At 39.7% G+C, this 18,960-nt stretch overlaps 1 protein-coding gene and 1 pseudogene across 39 annotated transcripts in view, besides 2 other annotated features; both read right to left on the bottom strand.

Annotated features, from left to right (window-relative positions):
* MAP7 (microtubule associated protein 7) overlaps nt 1-18,960 on the bottom strand; it is a 207,689-nt gene that overhangs the window by 65,447 nt on the left and 123,282 nt on the right. For 37 of the 39 annotated variants that reach the window (NM_001388347.1, NM_001198617.3, NM_001198616.3 and 34 more), the window contains 2 exons: nt 13,521-13,619; nt 3,440-3,517 (listed from right to left, as the gene is read on the bottom strand). The exons of the other annotated variants lie outside the window; for them this stretch is intronic. In NM_001388347.1, coding sequence (NP_001375276.1) covers nt 3,440-3,517; nt 13,521-13,619 — 177 coding nt within the window. The remainder of the gene's footprint in view (nt 1-3,439; nt 3,518-13,520; nt 13,620-18,960) is intronic. 39 annotated transcript variants of the gene reach the window in all.
* Nucleotides 7,317-7,517: a silencer, noted in NCBI's record as "peak6144 fragment used in MPRA reporter construct". NCBI's record gives its function as "represses an SCP1 promoter by STARR-seq MPRAs in K562 erythroleukemia cells {active_cell/tissue: K562}" and the evidence as "EXISTENCE:reporter gene assay evidence [ECO:0000049][PMID:32103011]".
* LOC124901409 (phosphopantothenate--cysteine ligase-like) lies at nt 11,596-12,256 on the bottom strand (annotated as a pseudogene).
* Nucleotides 18,331-18,625: a silencer, noted in NCBI's record as "tiled region #12163; K562 Repressive DNase matched - State 5:Enh". NCBI's record gives its function as "represses a minimal TATA promoter and a strong SV40 promoter by Sharpr-MPRA in K562 cells {active_cell/tissue: K562}" and the evidence as "EXISTENCE:reporter gene assay evidence [ECO:0000049][PMID:27701403]".

An 18,960-nucleotide genomic window follows, 5' to 3' on the forward strand; every position in this document is an offset into this window, starting at 1 on the left:
GAATCAGATGGAATAGGGTGGTTAGAGACTTTTCTACGTATAAAGCGTTTAAGGAAGAAAAATAAAGCTTTCAGAGTACAAGTGCCCAACGACAGAATAATCTCATACATGAAGAATTATGCCTGATTTTGTGAAAAACTGAAGGATAATGCAGAAAAAGCAGGCCACATGACATAATCCTACTATAAAAGCATCAAAGCATGACTCAGAGATTTAACCCACAGAAAGTTATTAATAAGTCCTTCCTGTTTGCAAAATAGTACAAATATGCCATAACACCAAGAACAAAATAATCAGACCTTTATTCTCCCTCTCTCTACCTTGCTTTTTAAAATACGTGGATTAAAACAATCTTTAATGATTTCAATGTTATTTTCAACCTACATCCAACAGTAAATAACCAGTCTCCCTGGCTATTCATTTTAAACTTTACTTTGCCAGCATTTGTGGAATGGTGTCCGATTTTTTTTAACTTGAAAACTTTAAAGTTTGAAAGTTGGTAAGAGTTGACATTACCAACTATTTTTTTTTTGTTTTCAAATTAAGCACAGTCCAAAGATTTCCTTAATATTAAGTGTCTGCTTTTAAACTTTTTTTCTTTTAAAAAAAATTTCCACTGCTGTTATAGCTTCTATAAAGCACAGTTCATAGACAGTTGATCAGGTGTGCCCTTTGATTTTTTTTGGTACTGAAGATTTTTTAGAAATCATCCTCACGTACTCTAAGGCACAGCTGAAATTAGATTTTTAAACGGCTCTTTTACAACTGTATATAATATATGCATGTATATTTGCATATATGCTCACTCCTGTATTTATGAAGATTGAAGGGAGCCTCTCAAGACTTAGTTCTAACTATGATGGTTTAAATGGAAAAAAAAAATAGGCAAAAAGGCACTGCTCTGAAATGTAAAGAAAATAAAATTAATGCAAAGAAAAAAATTAGAATGGATATATTTTCCTTAAAATTATGACTCTGACAATTGAAAAAAGAAATGAGATTGAATTTTTAAAAATTATGATATTTAACATGGCAGGGGTAAGAATAAAGAGAAAAATGCCAGGTGTGGTGACGTGAGTCTGTAATGCCAGCTACTAAAGAGGCTGAGGAGGATCACTGGAGCCAAGGAGGTCGAGGCTGTAGCGCACCGTGATCACACCTGTGAACAGCTATTGCAGTCCAGCCTGGGCAACATAACAAGATCCCATTTCAGAGAAAGAGAGAGAGAAGAGAGAAACTATGTATATCATATATTGGCTCACCAAAAAAGTTAAGCTGTAATAATAGAATAATACAATCATCTAGATATAATATATGTAACATATAATCATATAATAATCTGAAAAGCATGTTGGGTCTCTCAGCAAATGTCTTTTTTCCACCTGTTCTTGCACATTGCTGTATAATGCCTGCTCTTCTATCCCTTTGAAAGGCTCCTTTCATCCTTTAGTTGGGAACTTGGGTGGCACCTGGCAAAGCCAGGCTGGTTTAGGCACCTCTACAGGCTCTCAATGCCCCTGGCGCATACCCACTCACAGTGGATGCATTGCACTGTGACATTAATAGTTGCTACTTGTTTATCTGCCTTTCACTAGACTACACCTAGCCCTAGAGGGCTGGGTGTCAACCTTTATTCATCTTTTTGTCATCTTTTAAATACAATATATGGCACATACAGTGTTTGAATATATAAACTAATGAGTCATGTCCTGTGTTATCAATATGAATTGAAATATGGCATTACATGTTAAGAAAAAATCTAGTCACTCAATATACAAAGGTAAGCAACTTTTAGGGAGAACTGCAAGCTCAAAGCTGTAAGTCTTACACCTTTATAGTATAAGTAAAGTCATTTTTGTTTCACCAGCAGCATATTCGTGCTTTCCACAAAAAACTAATGCTTTGTTTTGTTAAGATAAAGAAACCCAAATGGAAAGGTGTGAGTTAAGTATGGAAAAGCTAATTCACAATGTGATTTAAACCATAAAGGAATGCTCTCCCGACCTATGGAACTCCTTCTATTCAAGCAGATATGAATCCACGCTATAACTAAAGAGATCTACAAGTGTGAGACCTGATGGGGAAGAGGGGGAAAAGGACATACGCATGGACTTGAAAACAGAGTGTAAATAACAGCCACCCTAAAACAGTAGTCAGTTTCTTATTTTTACTCATCTTCCAGTTTCAGCAGCTCTGCCTTCATCCTCTCTCAGTTCTGGTTTGCTTGTCAAAGCAACCTTAGTAGGGAGCAATGAGCATATTCACAGGAGGAAGGGAGAGCCCTGGTGACCACAGACAGCCTGCTCCCCAAGAACCTACCTGCCTGCAGGGAACCCATCAGGCCAGGGAGGAAACTCTAGGCACAGAAAAACAGCAGAGCATGTTCACTTCCAGTAAGCAAATGAAATCTATGCCTAAAAAACCTCAGAAGCAAAAGAAATGACCTCATATGGCCATTATGGCAAGGGACAGAAACAAGTCTGAGTTGAAAGAATGTAAACAATAGCAAAAGACTTTTGAAAACCAGCTTCCACTACATTTCACAAATTTGGGCTTTGGAATAAGAATAATAAAGGGATGAGATATAGGGGCAGAGTCCCCAGTTGAAACATTAACTCTTACAAAATGCAGAACAACTTTAAGAAGTTACAGGTCATCTCCTGGGAAAATTTTGATACCCTGTCAGTCTAGTTTCAGAATACCCAGGCACTCTGTACACGCACATGCTGACCAGGCATTTAATCTTTTCCAAGGTACATCATTCAGGTATATTTCAAGAGAGTATCCTGTTTTAGCAAGTTTACATAAATGGACATCAAAGTAAAGGAGGGGTTGGCACCTGCTTCCTTGCCCAATGTTTTAGAAGACAATGACTGTACAATCTCTAAGTGCTCTAGTCTCAGCTTCTGCTAAGATAGTCCTGTGATCCAGGTTCCAGTGATTATATGACAAATATTGCAGTTGCTAACGTCACAAGGGCCTTGGGTAATAAGAGAAAAATCAGACACCTCAGCACATGCTTTTCCTGGCAGCAGCCTGGTAGCACCTGTCTATAAGTTCAATGGCAGCATTATTTTAACAGAGAAGTCAGTTAAGTGCCCTGACAGTGTATAATCTCATAACTTTTCATGTAAAAAAGAACAATATGTTTACTGTCCTCGCATTTTCTCAGTAGTAAAATGTAAGCTGTACCATCACTCTACTCATATATACTTTCCCTCCAGTGCCACATTAAACTGTGACTGCAAAAAAGGATGACCTTAATCCTGAGGCTAGAGTTTATTGTCACTTAAAACTTATCCCTATGTTTATATTTTATCATCACATACTAAATTCTGCCTCATAGTCCATCTGTAAAATTCATAAAGGTATGCAAAAGACCACGGTATTATAGTGACATCCATTCAAATCAGGGCCATGGACACGGGGCCTGGGGTACCTAGCTGTTTCTCCCGTTCCTCACGTCGCTCCCGGGCCAGCCGCTGCCGGTCATCAACACGTAACACAGGCGGAGGGTCTGAAAGCGAGATTAAAAAAAACATGAGATGAAGAGTGGATTAAAAAAAAAAAGAAAAAGAAAAAACACACATTGATAAATATCCAGTAAATCTGAAGAATAATATATTGCTGCACTTTACAACAATAAGTACATGTGACTAGAGTTACAGTGATCTACTCAATTATTAGAAGTTTTCTAAGGATTTCTAAGCATTTTTCTTCTATTTGAAAACATGTAAAATCATGACGTAACTATAGCCTTTTGGCTATTTTCATCAAACAATATAAATGATGTTTTGTGTTCCTAAGCTACCAAACTTCTATTATTTTTATGCTTTAAAAAGTCTGTTCCTTAATGACCAACAAAATCCTTAAGTAGCTTTATACTGCACAAATGTTTGAGAGTTAGAGGTGAAGTGCTCGAGTCAAACAGACACGCATTCAGTTTCTGCCCCGTCACTCGCCGGCCAAGGTACTTACCCACCTCTGTAAGTCTCAAGCTATGAGGTGTACTTTGATTTATTACCTGTAAAATGAGGATACAATAGAACCTATCTCTCATTATTATAATGACTGTTAGTAGAGTGTGTAGTGTGTATGTCCCAGTAAATCACTGAACATCTACTGTGTGCTAGGCACTGTTCTGTATACTGAAAAGACAGCAGTCACCAAAAAAAGACAAAAACCTGAGATTTCATGGGATTTACATTCTACTTGGGAAAAAATCTGACAAACAAGACAAATAAGTACTATACATAGAATGAAAGAAGGAGAAAAATACAGAGAATATAGGTTAAGGAGACAACAAGGAAATGAAGGGGATTATGACATGTCAGGAAAAGGATGTTTAAATTTTTAGATGGAGCCCAAGGAAGGCCTCACTGTGATAATGATGTTCCATAGAAAGTAAGTGCAAAGGCCCTGAGGTTGCAAGTACCCAATGTGTTCCAGAAACAATAGGGAGATCTGAGGGACTGGAACAGAGTGAGATGAGTAAGCGACGGGGCTCATGGTTAAGGTGAGGACTTTGCATTATACTCTGAGTGAGACATGGGTGGAGAAGAGGGGTTCTGCAGCAGAGGGCTAGGTTTACAGGCTCACTCTGCTGCCGAATTAAAACAAAATAATAAAAATGAGCATAATAATCACACTTAAAAGGTTTTTCTCTTTACTAAATTGACAGTAGAATTGACGTTGACAGGCCAGGTGCGGTGGCTCACACCTGTAATCCTAGCACTTTGGGAGGCCGAGGCGGGTGGATTGCCTGAGCTGAGGAGTTCGAGACCAGCCTGAGCAACACGGTGAAACCGTCTCTGCTAAAAAAATACAAAAAATTAACCAGGTATGGCAGCGTGCGCCTGTAGTCCCAGCCATTTGGGAGGCTGAGGCAGGAGAACGGCTTGAACTTGGGAGGCAGAAGATGCAGGGAGCCAAGATCGCGCCATTGCACTCCAGCCTGGGCAACAGAGCAAGACTCTGTCTCCAAAAAAAGAAAAAAGAATTGACATTGACATTTTTAGAACCTTGCGTTAAAAATGGGAATCTACTATAATAATACAGTAGAGACAAGCTGGGTGCAGTGGCTCATGCCTCTAATTCCAGCACTTTGGGAGGTGGGTGGTTCACTTGAGGTCAGGAGTTCAAGACCAGCCTGGCCAACATGGCAAAACCCTGTCTCTACTAAAAATACAAAAATTAGCCAGTGTGGTGGCACATGCCTGTAGTCCCAGCTACTCAGGAAGCTGGGGCAGGAGAATCGCTTGAATCCGGGAGGTGGAGGTTGCGTTGAGCCAAGACTGCATGCCACTGCACTCCAGCCTGGGAGACAGAGCGAGACACCGTCTCAGAAAAAAAAAAAAAAAGAAAAGAAAATACAGTAGAGACAAATAGCAGTGCTTTGGCAACAAATGTAAAGGCCTGCATCCCAAATGTCTTTTTTTTATTTTTTACTTTTGAGACAGAGTCTCGTGTCATCCAGGCAGGAGTGCTGTGGCACGATCATGGCTTACTGCAGCCTTGACCTCCTGGGTTCAAGTGAATCCTCCCACCTCAGTCTCCTGAGTAGCTGAAACCACAGGTGGCACAACCACACCCAGCTAATTTTTGTATTTTTTGTAGAGACAGGATTTTGCTATGTTGCCCAGGCTGCCATATGTCTCTTGAACTTTACAGAATTTGTACATTTAAAGAAAATAAAAACAGTAAAGACGCCCCTTAGGAGCCTGCATAAACCAGGCAGTGTGGATGATGAACAAGACTAGGGGATGGTTCTTAAAAATTGGTTAAATGGGCCGGGCGCGGTGGCTCACGCCTGTAATCCCAGCACTTTGGGAGGCCGAGGCGGGCGGATCACGAGGTCAGGAGATCGAGACCATCCTGGCTAACAAGGTGAAACCCCGTCTCTACTAAAAATACAAAAAAAAAATTAGCCGGGCGTGGTAGCGGGCGCCTGTAGTCCCAGCTACTCGGGAGGCTGAGGCAGGAGAATGGCGTGAACCCGGGAGGCGGAGCTTGCAGTGAGCCGAGATCGCGCCACTGCACTCCAGCCTGGGCGACAGAGCGAGACTCCGTCTCAAAAAAAAAAAAAAAAAAAAAAAAAAAAAAAATTGGTTAAATGGACTCCTCAATAGCCCACAATGATAAATATTTTTCAGATTTCCTAATCATTTATGTACTTCCACATATTTTTTATGTAGGAAAATATGGCTCCTGGCCCTAAAAGGTTTAATTTGGAAACAAGAAAATGGAAGTGGACATGACGACCCTCTCAGGCAATTTATTAAGGGCTATCCACAGGAAGTTCTTGCTATCATTTGTTTTGCTGAAAGAAAATGGTGGCCGTAGTAAAATGGCATTTTAAAGAAAGAACTCGGGATAAAAGTCAAGATGAAGTTAAAAGAAAGACCTTTAACAATTACTTATCACTTTAATACTCCTTAAATAATATGAGGTTTACTCACTCATGAAAAACTTTTTTTTTTTAAACAGGATCTTGCTGTGTCACCCAGGCTGGAGTGCAGTGGTATGATCATGGCTCACTGCAGCCTCAATCTCCCTGGCTCAAGCCATCCTCTTACCTCAGCCTACCAAGTAGCTGAGACTGCAGGTGTGCACAACCACAATCAGCTAATTTTTTTTTTTTTTTTTTTTGAGACAGAGTTTCCTTGCTCTTGCTGCCCAGGCTGGAGTGCAGTGGCGTGATCTCAGCTCACTGCAACCTCTGCCTCCTGGGTTTAAGCGATTCTCCTGCCTCAGCCTCCCAAGTAGCTGAGATGACAGGCATGCGCCACCAGGCCCAGCTATTGTATTTTTAGTACAGACAGGGTTTCACCATGTTGGTCAGGCTGGTCTCAAACTCCTGACCTCAGATGATCCATCAGCCTCCCAAAGTGCTGGCATTACAAGCGTGAGCCACCATGCCCGATCTCGGCTAATTAAAAAAATTTTTTTTGTAGAGATGGGCTCTCACTATGTTGCTAAGCCTGGTCTTGAACTCCTGACTTCAAGCAATCCTCCTGCCTCAGCCTCCCACAGTGCTGGGATTACAGGCATAAACTGCCGCACCCAGCCTCATAAAAACTTTTATTTAATTATAAAAGTTGAAAATCAACTTTGTAAAAGCCATATGAGCACATTATGGAAAGTCTGTAAAATAGACAGTTTAATTACTTTTAAAATTCCACTGACAAATTCTGTTAGACAATATTTCAATTAAGTATGTGCCATGTCTAGCTTACTTTCAAGTACATGCCAAATTTCATACAAAATTTTGAAAAGAAGGCTTTAATAACACATGGGACACATGCCACTCCTGACAACCCACACCAACCCTGACAGCCCCAAGTCATAGTAATAACCAGTGCTCCTGCAGTAATGAGGCAATGCCCGATTGTGCAACGTAATGCTTCCCCCTGTGAAGTGCCTTTTGAATGTATATTCTGAAAATAGTTGAAGAAGTGCTAGTTTTTCTCTGATTTCTATGCTATCATTTCATATGAAAATTATACTCTTCGCATGTAACAAACTGCGTCCTGTTTGGTAAGATAATATGTAAAAAACCAAACTTTTATACAATTAAAAATAAGGCTGTAAATAAGGCCAATGCTTAGGACTGCAGTAGTTCCTGGCTGTCCATCAACATTAGTGCTGAAATAATTACTATCTCTCTGGAAACAGATTTGAGGAAGTAAAGAAATGTAACATTTTTGAAGCTCAAGATGCATAGTGGTTGTGATACACTAGATGATTTTGCTTGATTTGGAAACCTGGCGTTAGAAAATATTGAATTGTAGAGTGAAAAAGTTATTTAGTGTAGGTTGTTTCTATCCCTCTGTTCCCATTAATATGAAAGTCTCTTGGGTGCTAGAATGTCATTAACACCTGTGGCAGGTTAAAGATGGCTGTGCATGGGGCTGGGGAGGAACAGAGACTTGTCTGTTTTCTTCCCTGCTGCATTCTCAATTCCTCGGGCTGTATGTGGTAGAAAAGGATATTCAATAAGTATTTGTTGAATGAATGAATGAACAAACAACGAACAACCTTAGCTAACCCTCAGAGCCTTTAAACTTTTATTAAGATGCACCAATGGGGAAAACTAAGAACAATCTTGTACCTGATAACAGAGTAAACTATTTAAATGCTAGAAGTTTAAATTTTAGTTTTAATAACTAAAAACTGATAAAAATTTATCTTTAAAGGTAGGTTTTCAAAAAAATACAATTAAATAATTCCAGTAAATAGTGAATTTCCTATAATTCATTGCCTTCTTTCTCGTTTCCACCCCCACTTATTTTCCCCTGAAACAAAAGTTAGCTATAGAAAATACTTTAAAATTATGTATAGGTCAGCCAGGCGCGGTGACTCACACCTGTAATCCCAGCACTTTGGGAGGACGAGGCAGGCGAATCACTTGAGGTCAGGAGTTCAAGACCAGCCTGGGCAACATGGCGAAACCCTGTCTCTACTAAAAATACAAAAGTTAGCCAGGCACAGTGGTGCACGCCTGTTATCCAAGCTACTTGGGAGGCTGAGGCAGGAGAATCGCTTGAACCTGGGAGGCGGAGGTTGCACTGAGCCAAGATCGCACCACTGCACTCCAGCATGGGTGACAGGACGAGACTACGTCTCAAAAAAAAAAAAAAATTATATATAGGTCAGGCACAGTGGCTCACTCCTGTAATCCCAACACTTTGGGAGGCCAAGGCAGGAGGATTGCTTGAGTCCAGGAGTTTGAGACCAGCCCAGGCCTATTTGAAAAAGGGAGACCTCATCTCCACCAAAAATAAAAAAAATTAGCCAAGAGTGATGGCACATGCTTGTGGTCCCAGCTACTCAGGAGGCTGAGGTGACAGGATCGCTTGAGGCTGGGAGATCTAGGCTACAGTGAGCCCTGATTACACCACTGCACTCCAGCCTGGGCGACGGAGTGAGACCCTGTCTTGAAATAAAATAAAATAATGTATATTCCACATTGTTTCCCAATGGATCTAATATGGTTAGAATAAAATTAAGTTACTGATTCTCACAAGGAAAAAGGGTTTAAGAGGAATAGAACTTAGGCTTAATTAAGATTGCAGTTGCACTCCACATTCAACCTCCTACCTATGATGTTTCAAGTGTGGGGTGACATCTAACCTGGGGCATTGTTAAGGGTGAAAGGGAGTGCCATTAAAATTCTCTGTTTGATAACATGCATAAACCTGGATTGCCTTACACACATCTGAGAGTACGGTCATGCTACTACAGAGCTCTCAAAGTTGACAAGGCTTTTTCAAGAACTCACTAGGCCTTGACTCATATGTAACAACTACTGTTTCTACAGTAAATACTTCTGTATTTCTGTCAGCAATTTGTACTTTATGAAGCACTTTCACATATTATCACTTTATTCTTCCCAATAACACTAGGAGTTAGCCAAGCATTTATTTATTCAATGAAGAGTTATTATGCCTCTTTTTCAAATGAAAAAACTCAGAGAAATAGATATGACTAATGAAGACAGCACGGATATGTGTCAGAGTGAGGGCATAAAACCCGATTTCTAACTCAGTCCTGTGCCCATCCACGCACCATGGCAGCTACAGTCATTACAATTGCACCGTGTGGCATCAGAGAAGGGCTGGAAGCTCCTAAGTCACACACTCCTCTATGAGGGCAAATTACTTATAAACAGTAAGGCAGAATAAAGTTTCAGTGGCTCTTTTAAAGACTTGTGTTGGGGGGCAGCAAAGGGATAGGAATTCAGAAGGATTTTTAATGAATTTGGGTATCTGCTTTTCTCAGGTCCATGAAAACACGCAGTTTTCTAAGGAAGTCAAACTATTAATCATTTGAAGGCAGCTGGAGTTCTGAAGAACCATCTCCCACTTCTTCAGGAACTAGCAGACGTGGACAGATGTGTAACTTTACAAACTGTCTGTTTTGGTCTGGGTTCAAGTATTCACATTTGAGAGCAATGGTCGTTCCAGGATAACACAGAACATAGTGTGCTCATAGTTCTAAAACACCACGAGGGACTTCTGTAATGTGGTTTGTTTGTTTGTTTGTTTGTTTTTTGAGACAGAGTCTCGCTCTGTTGCCCAGGCTAGAGTATAGTGGCGGATCTCGGCTCACTGCAACCTCTGCCTCCTGGCTTCAAGTGATTCTCCTGCCTCAGCCTCCTGAGTAGCTGGGGTTATGGGCGCGCACTACCATGCCTGGCTAATTTTTGTATTTTTATTACAGACAGGGTTTCACCATGTTGGCCAGGTTGGTCTCGAACTCCTGGCCTCAGGAGATCCACCCGCTTTGGCCTCCCAAATTGCTGGGATTACAGGCGTGAGCCACCGGCGCCTGGCCAGCCATAATGTGTTTTAAATATAAAAGTCACAACTTGAATGTGGATAAATGTGTTCTACATCAAAGAGATGTTCTGGAGCCTTCTAATGAGTTTAAGTATCAGAAGGTAAAAGAGGAAAGAACATTTAGCTAAAACTTACTAGATTAAAAGGGATTCTCAGAAATCATTCAGTCAGGATGCCCATACCTGGTTAGGACAATACCTAAAATATCCCAAAATATATAATGAACTTTTTTTTTTCAAGTTCTAGAAAATGAAAATCAACAAAATGCTTTAGACAGACATTCCTATGACCCGTATCCCACAAAAATTAAAAGGTGTTACTCAAGGCCAGCCCTCCAACACATAACTCATATTGTCCTTTGAGGAGACTCAGGAAAATAATGACATGGTGGTTACTAAATCAAGAGCCTTTTATATAGCTTGGCTTATCTGTATATACAAGAAAACAGACACAGGATGCTCAAAAAGACACAATCAGAAGTGAAATGTCTCCCTATTTAACTTGACTTTAGCAATATAAATCAAATGACTATATATAAGGAGATGGCCAATAAGGGTGGAAGAGATTTTTCTGGCTTCTGATCTCTATACACTGTGTGCAATCTCTCGTCACACTGGTGGTTCTGTGTTAGAATGACCTATTCATATATTGGTTTATCCATCATACTGTCAACTGGAAGGTAGAGATTATGTCTTTTAATAATATATTCCTAGTACTTTAATGATGCTAACACTAGATGAATAAATGAGTTATCAGGATATAAAAGTATAAACTGCACAGTAAAAGAATGGTAGAAATTAGAAGCAGTGGTGGATGGGGAGAACCAGAGAAATACAGCACCAACAACTAAGCTATGTTAAATTCTCATTGTATTACAAATGTGATTTTATTTTATTTTTTTGAAACACATTTATTCATCTTTTTAATCCTCGTGGCTCAGCACAGGGCCTGACACACAGTAGGCACTCAACAAATATTTGATTTCCAAAGCATGACCATTCATGCATCCATAATCCTCTTTTTATAGTATAAAGAAGGCTGATATTCAGGCCCCCATGTGTACCTTAAGTAATATATATTTCCCAATAAGCTCTTATTTTTAAAGGTGAGAAACAGTTCTAGGGTTCAATTTCAAAATCAAGATGACATTCAGGTGAGTGTATCACATGTCATTAAAAGATGAATAACAAAGCATATTTGCCTGCGCACCACTGCCTTTTCCCTTTCCTTCATTTTCTCTGTTCATAGGAAAGCAAAAGTTTTATTAAAGTTTTCACCATCTGTAAGAGCCCTGGACAATTTTTGATCCTGTAAGGGCTTTTTACTTCAGTTTTTGTCACATATTAAAGCTGTGTGTCAAGACTGAGGATTATCCACTATCTTCTCTTCTATCTCTATGTATTTTTCTATTTCTTCCTCTGATAGCTATAACTTGGTTTCTGAGTGTCTGGTTACAATAACTGCAAAGGACTGTTGTGACTCAAGGATATTAGCCACCACCACTTGATGCTGATAAACTTCCAAAGCCTTCTGAGCTCGATTAATTACAATGGAGGGGTCAGTCTCCAACTTAAAGGAAATTATAAATGCTTTGGGAGCACAATCTTTAATCAAAGAAGAAAGTATTTTTGGCACCATCTTCATTGTTATCTGCAGTGGGCCCCCAGATGACTGGATCTTGTGTTCAGGCATTTCAGAGCCAGGAACATAGAAATCTGACAGGGCCGCGCCAGGTAAAACATCGCAGAAGAGCCGGCCATGCTTCCAGAGGGACCTTGGTGCTGCCTGACGTGACCAACACCACCCGCTTGCCCTGCGTGCCCAGCCCGGCCGCGAAGTGGGCCATAACCTCAGTGCAGCACCAGGAGGCCAGGGGAACTCAGCTACCAGGTCCACTTCTGCCAACAAATGTGATTTTCATGCTAAAGAATTTCTACTTCCATAGAGACACACTTGAATACAAAAATAAAGGTCCACTAGAATAAGCTGCGTGGGGACAGGGTTCATGTTGTTTGCTCATACAGTACATCTCTCATGCTTCTTCGGCATAGAAGAACTCAGTAAACATTAGATGGTAGCTGGAAGGTGGATGGCTAGATGGATGGATAAATGACTCAATGAAAAGGCAGGTTGACTGACTAAGGAAATCTCTGCTTGGTAATTAAAACTCCTCTGAGACTGCACATCATTTTCCACTAATGGCAGCTTAAGCAGTATTTTCAACAATACTTGTTATTGTCTTTCCTCTAAATGACAAACCAGATTTATCTGTTGTGTTCAAGACCTTTTCCACATGAAAAAAAAAAAATTCACAAAACTAAACACACTAGAATGTTCTCTATAAGGTTAGACTCAGTTATTTCCATCTTTATTCTCACTGATTCACTGTGTCACTGTGCTTGAGTGACTTCAGTCCTGGATGCAGCATGAAGTAGGTTTCCAAGAACCTCATGGGGTATTCGGCTTGCTTTCCTTTCCTTTGATTGTCTCCTGTTATCATACTGTACATTCATTCCTCCCACAGGCCACGCAATGGTTATTGGATAACTGGAAGCAACTGCACTGTCGGTTCAATTGTTTGTATTATATTTACAGACTGTTTGCTTCTTTGTATCACTGAATGAAAGAGACTATGAATCAGAGGTTATTAAATGAAATTACTCTGTAGGCATATAATCATTGCAAGGAATAGGAAACAAAACCATAATTCTATACAAGCTTTGCTATGTGTAAAGATTTCTTGAAATAGTTTTTGAAAAAGTCACAAAAGAGATACGCAATAATGCTTGTTGGACATACAGGTATAAAAAATTGTGTCCTATCATTTGAAACAGAATAGTAAAATTATTACCCCTTTAAGCTGCTTGACATTAAATGAGTGCATCCACATACACCATCTCATTGATTGTCAAAATGACTCTGAGAGGTAAGCAGGTCGTGTGTTTGAATCTACATTTTAAAGAGAGAAAACCAAGGCTTGGCTTTGAGAGGTTCTCTGACTTAATATCATACAATCCAGTAGGAGTGTGTGTTTGGTGGCAGGACTGAAACCAAGCTCTCCTAAATTCGAGTTTTCTGGAAACTAGAATTTAAACAAATTAAACCTTTATAATCATCAGCATGCCTTTAGGGCATAAAAGATAACCTTTATTTTCCCACAGTTAATGCAATGCATCATACCTGGTTTATTTCCTGAGTGGTTGTTATTTTGTCCTGAAATTGCAGAGGCAGGGCGGCTGGAGGCATTTTTCTTATCTTGCACTTTGTAGCTGTCGGGTGCTACAGAAATGAGACAAAAGAGAAAAGACACATTTAGTTTCTTAAAATTTCTTCAGAAACATTTAAGTATTCGACATTTACTGTTAACCTATGTACCAGGTTCTTAGGCTAGATTAAGGAAATGAAAAGATGAAGTAGTTACAACCTGTGCCCTCAAGGAGTAGGAAGAACACATAAAAAATCAACAACCTCAGCTTGAGTGACCCATCTTATAGAAGTGGCATGTTCAAGGGGCCATGAAGGGCCTTTCCCATGGCTGCACCAGTTTACACATAAAGCAACCACGTGGAAGCACGACTGGAGTCTAAAGTCTTGGATCTGAGTTCTTACAAAGCACCATTGGCTTAGAATATATTTCAAATGTATTAATTTCTTTCTTGCTTTGGTATATTCAACATCATTTAATCTTTCTTTGGGGTCACTGAGTCTCTGCAGTAGCCCCAGGTCCTGACAACAAACATCAACCCTAACTGAATATTATGTAACAGCAGACCATGGAAATCGAAAAGACTTCAACGTATGTTCAGTACAAGTCACTTTTCTGAATAAGCCCTGATAAATGCTTTTGGGGGTGGGGTGCTGGAGGGAGGCTGTAGTTTGCTTTATTATGCTGAAATTCAAATTAAAAAAAATCAATTAAACAGGAGTTCTGGTTACTTTAACTCTAATTTATCTACATCTAACTTTTATTGGATCCATTCTAGGCGAACATCAGAGGCCTATCTGCCCACTTCATTATCGTCTGCATGTTGGGAATTCATTTCCATCCCAGAAGACCTTCTGAGTCATATTCACCATGAGACAAATATACAATCCATTTTAAATTTTTCTGTGCTCATATAAAATTGATAGGTTAATTTTATTTTATGTTATTTTATTTTCCATTAAGCCATTTGGATTAGTAATAGGTTAAATTTCGTAAAATAAAAATAATTTTTTGAAAATTGTCAGGCTGTTTGGTCTAAGATTATATATTGCTAATTCCTAACTCTTAGGTTGGATGTATTTCTAAAGTTTTCAGGCCATCTCTCTGCTTTCATATCAGTCTTTTTCTTCTTCAATGGTTTAAGAGTCTGTATTTCTTCAAAAACTTCTTTGGTGAACATTGTAACAGCAAAAGACACAGACAGACCTGGGTTCAAAAGTGAGACTTGGTACATAACCAGTTGAGTGGCGAGAAAGTTATTTGGCCTCTCTAAGTAGGTCACATGGGGTAATAATACTGCCTAACTCACAGAATTGTTGAAAGATTAACTGAGAAGACACATGTTAAAAATCTACCATAAGACTTGGCACATAGAAGGTGTTTAACAAGTATTCAAGGCCCTTTCTCCCAGCTTCTATGCTTTTCTGTGGAGTCCTGGGCATCCCATACCCATAGCACCCATGCAGGTTTGAGTGTGTTTTGGAGTCAGCAAACCTGGTTCTGCCATTTACCAGCTGAATCCTCAGCATGTCACTTAACATCTCTAAGTCTTAATTTCCCCATCTGTAAATGGGGAAAACATCTACTTTCAGAGCTGTAAAAATTAAACGAGATAACGTACAGAAAGGTAGTTCATTGCCTGGCCCACAGCAAGGCACGATAAATGGTAGAAAGTATTTTTAGCTCTCTTCAGGAAACTGGGCTTCTAGTTCCTCAGGGATTTGAGAGAAAGCAAACCTATGTTAACTTGGTGACGGGGTCCTGGGGGCAAGTGACTAAAGTGGCAGGAAGGTCTGGGTCAGCCGCTGTTTCCAGAGGTTTTCAGCTCAGCCACAGTTATACCTCCTGGTGCTCTCAGGTAGGATGAACTTATTGATATGATGTTTAGGGTATGGCCTGGTTTGGGAAGAGGTAATTAGTCCTTCTGATTCAGGGTTTGGGGGAGATGACAGTTTTCTAAGATGTGATGTCTTTCATTATATTAAGTAAATCTGAGCCTTAAAAAAAAAAAAAACAAAACCTCAGTAACAATGGGAAAAATAAAACAGGGAGTTGTGTTTTTTTTTTTTGTTTTTTTGTTTTGTTTTTTGAGACAGTTTCGCTCTTGTTGCCCAGGCTGGAGTGCAATGGCATGATCTTGGCTCACCGGCAACCCCCGCCTCCCGGGTTCAAGCAGTTCTTCTGCCTCAGCTCCCAAGTAGCTGGGATTACAGGCATGCGCCACCACGCCTGGATAATTTTTTTGTATTTTTAATAGAGACGGGGTTTCTCCATATTTGTCAGGCTGGTCTCGAACTCCCAACCTCAGGTGATCTGCCTGCCTCGGCCTCCCAAAGTGCTGGGATTACAGGTGTGAGCCACCACGCCCAGCTGGGAGTTTTTTGTTTTTTTTAAACAAAGTGCAGGAGATTTCACTACTTAAGAACACAATGACAACAGGAATTTATTCATTTTCTGATTTCCAAAATTTAAAAACCTGAAAATCCTCATTAACTAGAAGATAGGATTGTATATACCCTTATAAAAGTTCTCATGGAAAAAAAAATTAAAATGACTAGGTGACTTTCCAGTATTATTTATTTGAATCTCTCTTCTTTCATTTAAAAAAAAAAAAAAAAGAAAATTAAGCCATATACTACGATGCTCAGTAAGTCTTTGCTAGCCTTATGAAATCTTTATTGATTATCCTGCTAGCTTGAAAGCTGTATTCCATTAGTGTCACATGTGAGTGTTGAGGTAAAGACAAGAGGAAGGATACAAACAAGCACCCTGGTGGTCTGGGACTCTCTTTCCAACATACTCTAAAACAAAATATAGAGGCATCAGACATTTGGAGCCTTCATCTAGTGAAAATTCTGCAGCTCCAGTAAGTGCTGCAATGTGCCTGTGCAATCCACATCGTCTGCCACTCACTGATTCCTTCCAACGTCTTCCCACAAAGGCCTTGGTGTTCTCATGGCTTTGTTTCTACTTCTGGCTGTATGGTCCAATACAGTCTTCTCTCAACTGTTCAGAATAACTGGTCCAACAAATGACCTGTCAATTTAGTCAAAATACTTGCTCTGAGACACGTCTGACTATAACCTTTGCACCATCCTGAGTTTAAATCTCACTGAATAATATGGGGACTTGACATCCACAAGGATAATGTATTTCAGTCACTCTTTTTAATAAAATCTGGAATGTGGGCTGTGAAACAGCAAAAGCTTAAACTCAGTTCCCAGCTCTGTATAGTCCCTTATCCATGGAGGAATACTAGGTTCCCAAGACCCTCCGTGGATGCCTGAATTTGTGGGTAGTCCCTGACCATACATACGCTATGTTTTTTGGATCTACTGAGACAGCTCCTATGTGACTGACAGGTGTGCAGCGACTACAGTGTGGATCCACTGGACAAAGGAATGATTCACATCTCAGGCTGGACAGAGCAGGAGGGCACAAGATTTCATCACACTACTCAGAACAGCATAAAATTTATGAACTGTTTATTTCTGAAGTTTTCCATTTAATATTTTTGGACTACAACTGACCGTAACTGAAACCTCAAAAAGCGAAATCATGGATAAGGAGGAACTACTGCATACATGCTTCTCGGCTACAGTCTTCAACTGGACTTTGTGGGCATACAGCCCCTTTGTGGACATAGACTTGTGAGGACACAGCTTTGGGGGAGTGACCTAGAACACAGAACTAGAGGTTGAACCACATGAAATAGCCTTTTATGTAGTAAAAAATGGTTAAAATTTAACAACTTTTATGTTTCAATCTAATAGTTTAAATAAATCTGTATAGAAAAGAGTTACCATATCAGGCCTGAGACTGCTGTCCTTATTATTTTGTATATATTTATATATATTTATTCCTTACATTTATTTATTCAAATATACCTGCCAGGAGTATTGTAACACTCGAATCATAGGTATGAAGTGTTTTATCCAATGTGATTTATAAAATTTGCATTAGAACAAGAAGGACATAAAGCAACAGCAACACTCCTAATGACATTCCTGATTATTCCACATAATGGAGAATTTCTCCTTAGTTTAAATTCCTCATAATTATAAGTGAAGTTGGGCAGCAATGATCAAAGCTTATGGGAGTTAGCATAAGACAAACCTGGATTTCATTTCCCACACTACCTCAGTTTTCTTCCTACTTGCATTTATTCGAACAGTACACTACTCCATGGGACATCTTGAGCTCGATGCTGGAAGTAATATTATTAGGGGTATAATGTATCTCCTTCTACCACTTCTTTTTCCTTTTCTTGTCCTATGTTTCTAGGTTACACTGTATTCTGGAGCTTCTGATTCCTCCAATACTATCTCCTCTCTTCAAAAATCATCTCCTAGTATGGCCTGAAATACTATCTGTACATCAGTCACTGTCGAGTGTGCATTTATAAATATGTGCTCTCAACAAAGTTCCCGTCTTCAACCTCTAGGGAATATCTGCTCATGTATTTCTGCTATCATTTGAATGTCCTCACAAAAAAGCCAACCCCCTAATGTCAGTCTCTTTGTCACAATCAACAGAACCACCAGCCTCAGAAATGTTAAGTAATTTTAAGGAATTAAGTAATTTTTTCAACATTTACAATACCTCCATGGGCCAGACACTGTGCTACGCAGTGAGAATACAAAGGTTATATGACATACTATCTGCTTTCAAGATGCTTATCATCCTTTGGAGGAGAGACAGTGTGCACATACATGAAATTGCAACAATAGACCGATTCAATTTTCTAAAAAATCCATAAACCCACAGAGGTTTAATAACCAAATAAATGATATAGATAGTGTTACAGGAATTTGGAGTGGAAGAAGGAGCCACAAGGCACAGCAGTCCCTGGGCAAAGAGCTTGCAGACCAGAAAGCATCCAGATAAGTGAAGAATAATGTGGAGAAGTTCCCTCACTGGGATGGAGCACGAGCAAAACTACCAAGGCAAAGAGGCAGGAGAGACAATCAGGACTGTCTGGTCAGAACAGCAGGTTTAGGAAGGGAGGCAGTTGAAAATATGACAAGAGAAACTGGCTAAGGTCAATGTCTCTTTGAATTCTGAGAGTGTGGACTTTCTCGTGAAGGCAATGGAAAGTCACTGAAGTATATATCACATGGAACTTCCAGCTGTGAACTACTTTAGCTTCAGTGGATTCTGTGTAAATGGAAAGTGAAGTCTAACAAGCCTGCTGGAAATGAATTTAAAAAGGATCTCATCTTAAAGAAAACAATAAAAGGAAATCAGACAAAAACAGACATGCTAAGAACTCTGCCTTCTATAGAATTTAGTAACTAGTCAGGTTCTTCCACTTACCCGTATCGTGTACCAAGAGATAAGTATTTGACCATTACGTGGTAAAAAGTAACATGAATATGGTGAAACTTATGTCTGTCCCTGAAGAAACAAGAAGTA

Source organism: Homo sapiens, chromosome 6 (genome assembly GCF_000001405.40).
Source record: "Homo sapiens chromosome 6, GRCh38.p14 Primary Assembly".
In the NCBI taxonomy this organism is placed as follows: Eukaryota; Metazoa; Chordata; class Mammalia; order Primates; family Hominidae; genus Homo; species Homo sapiens.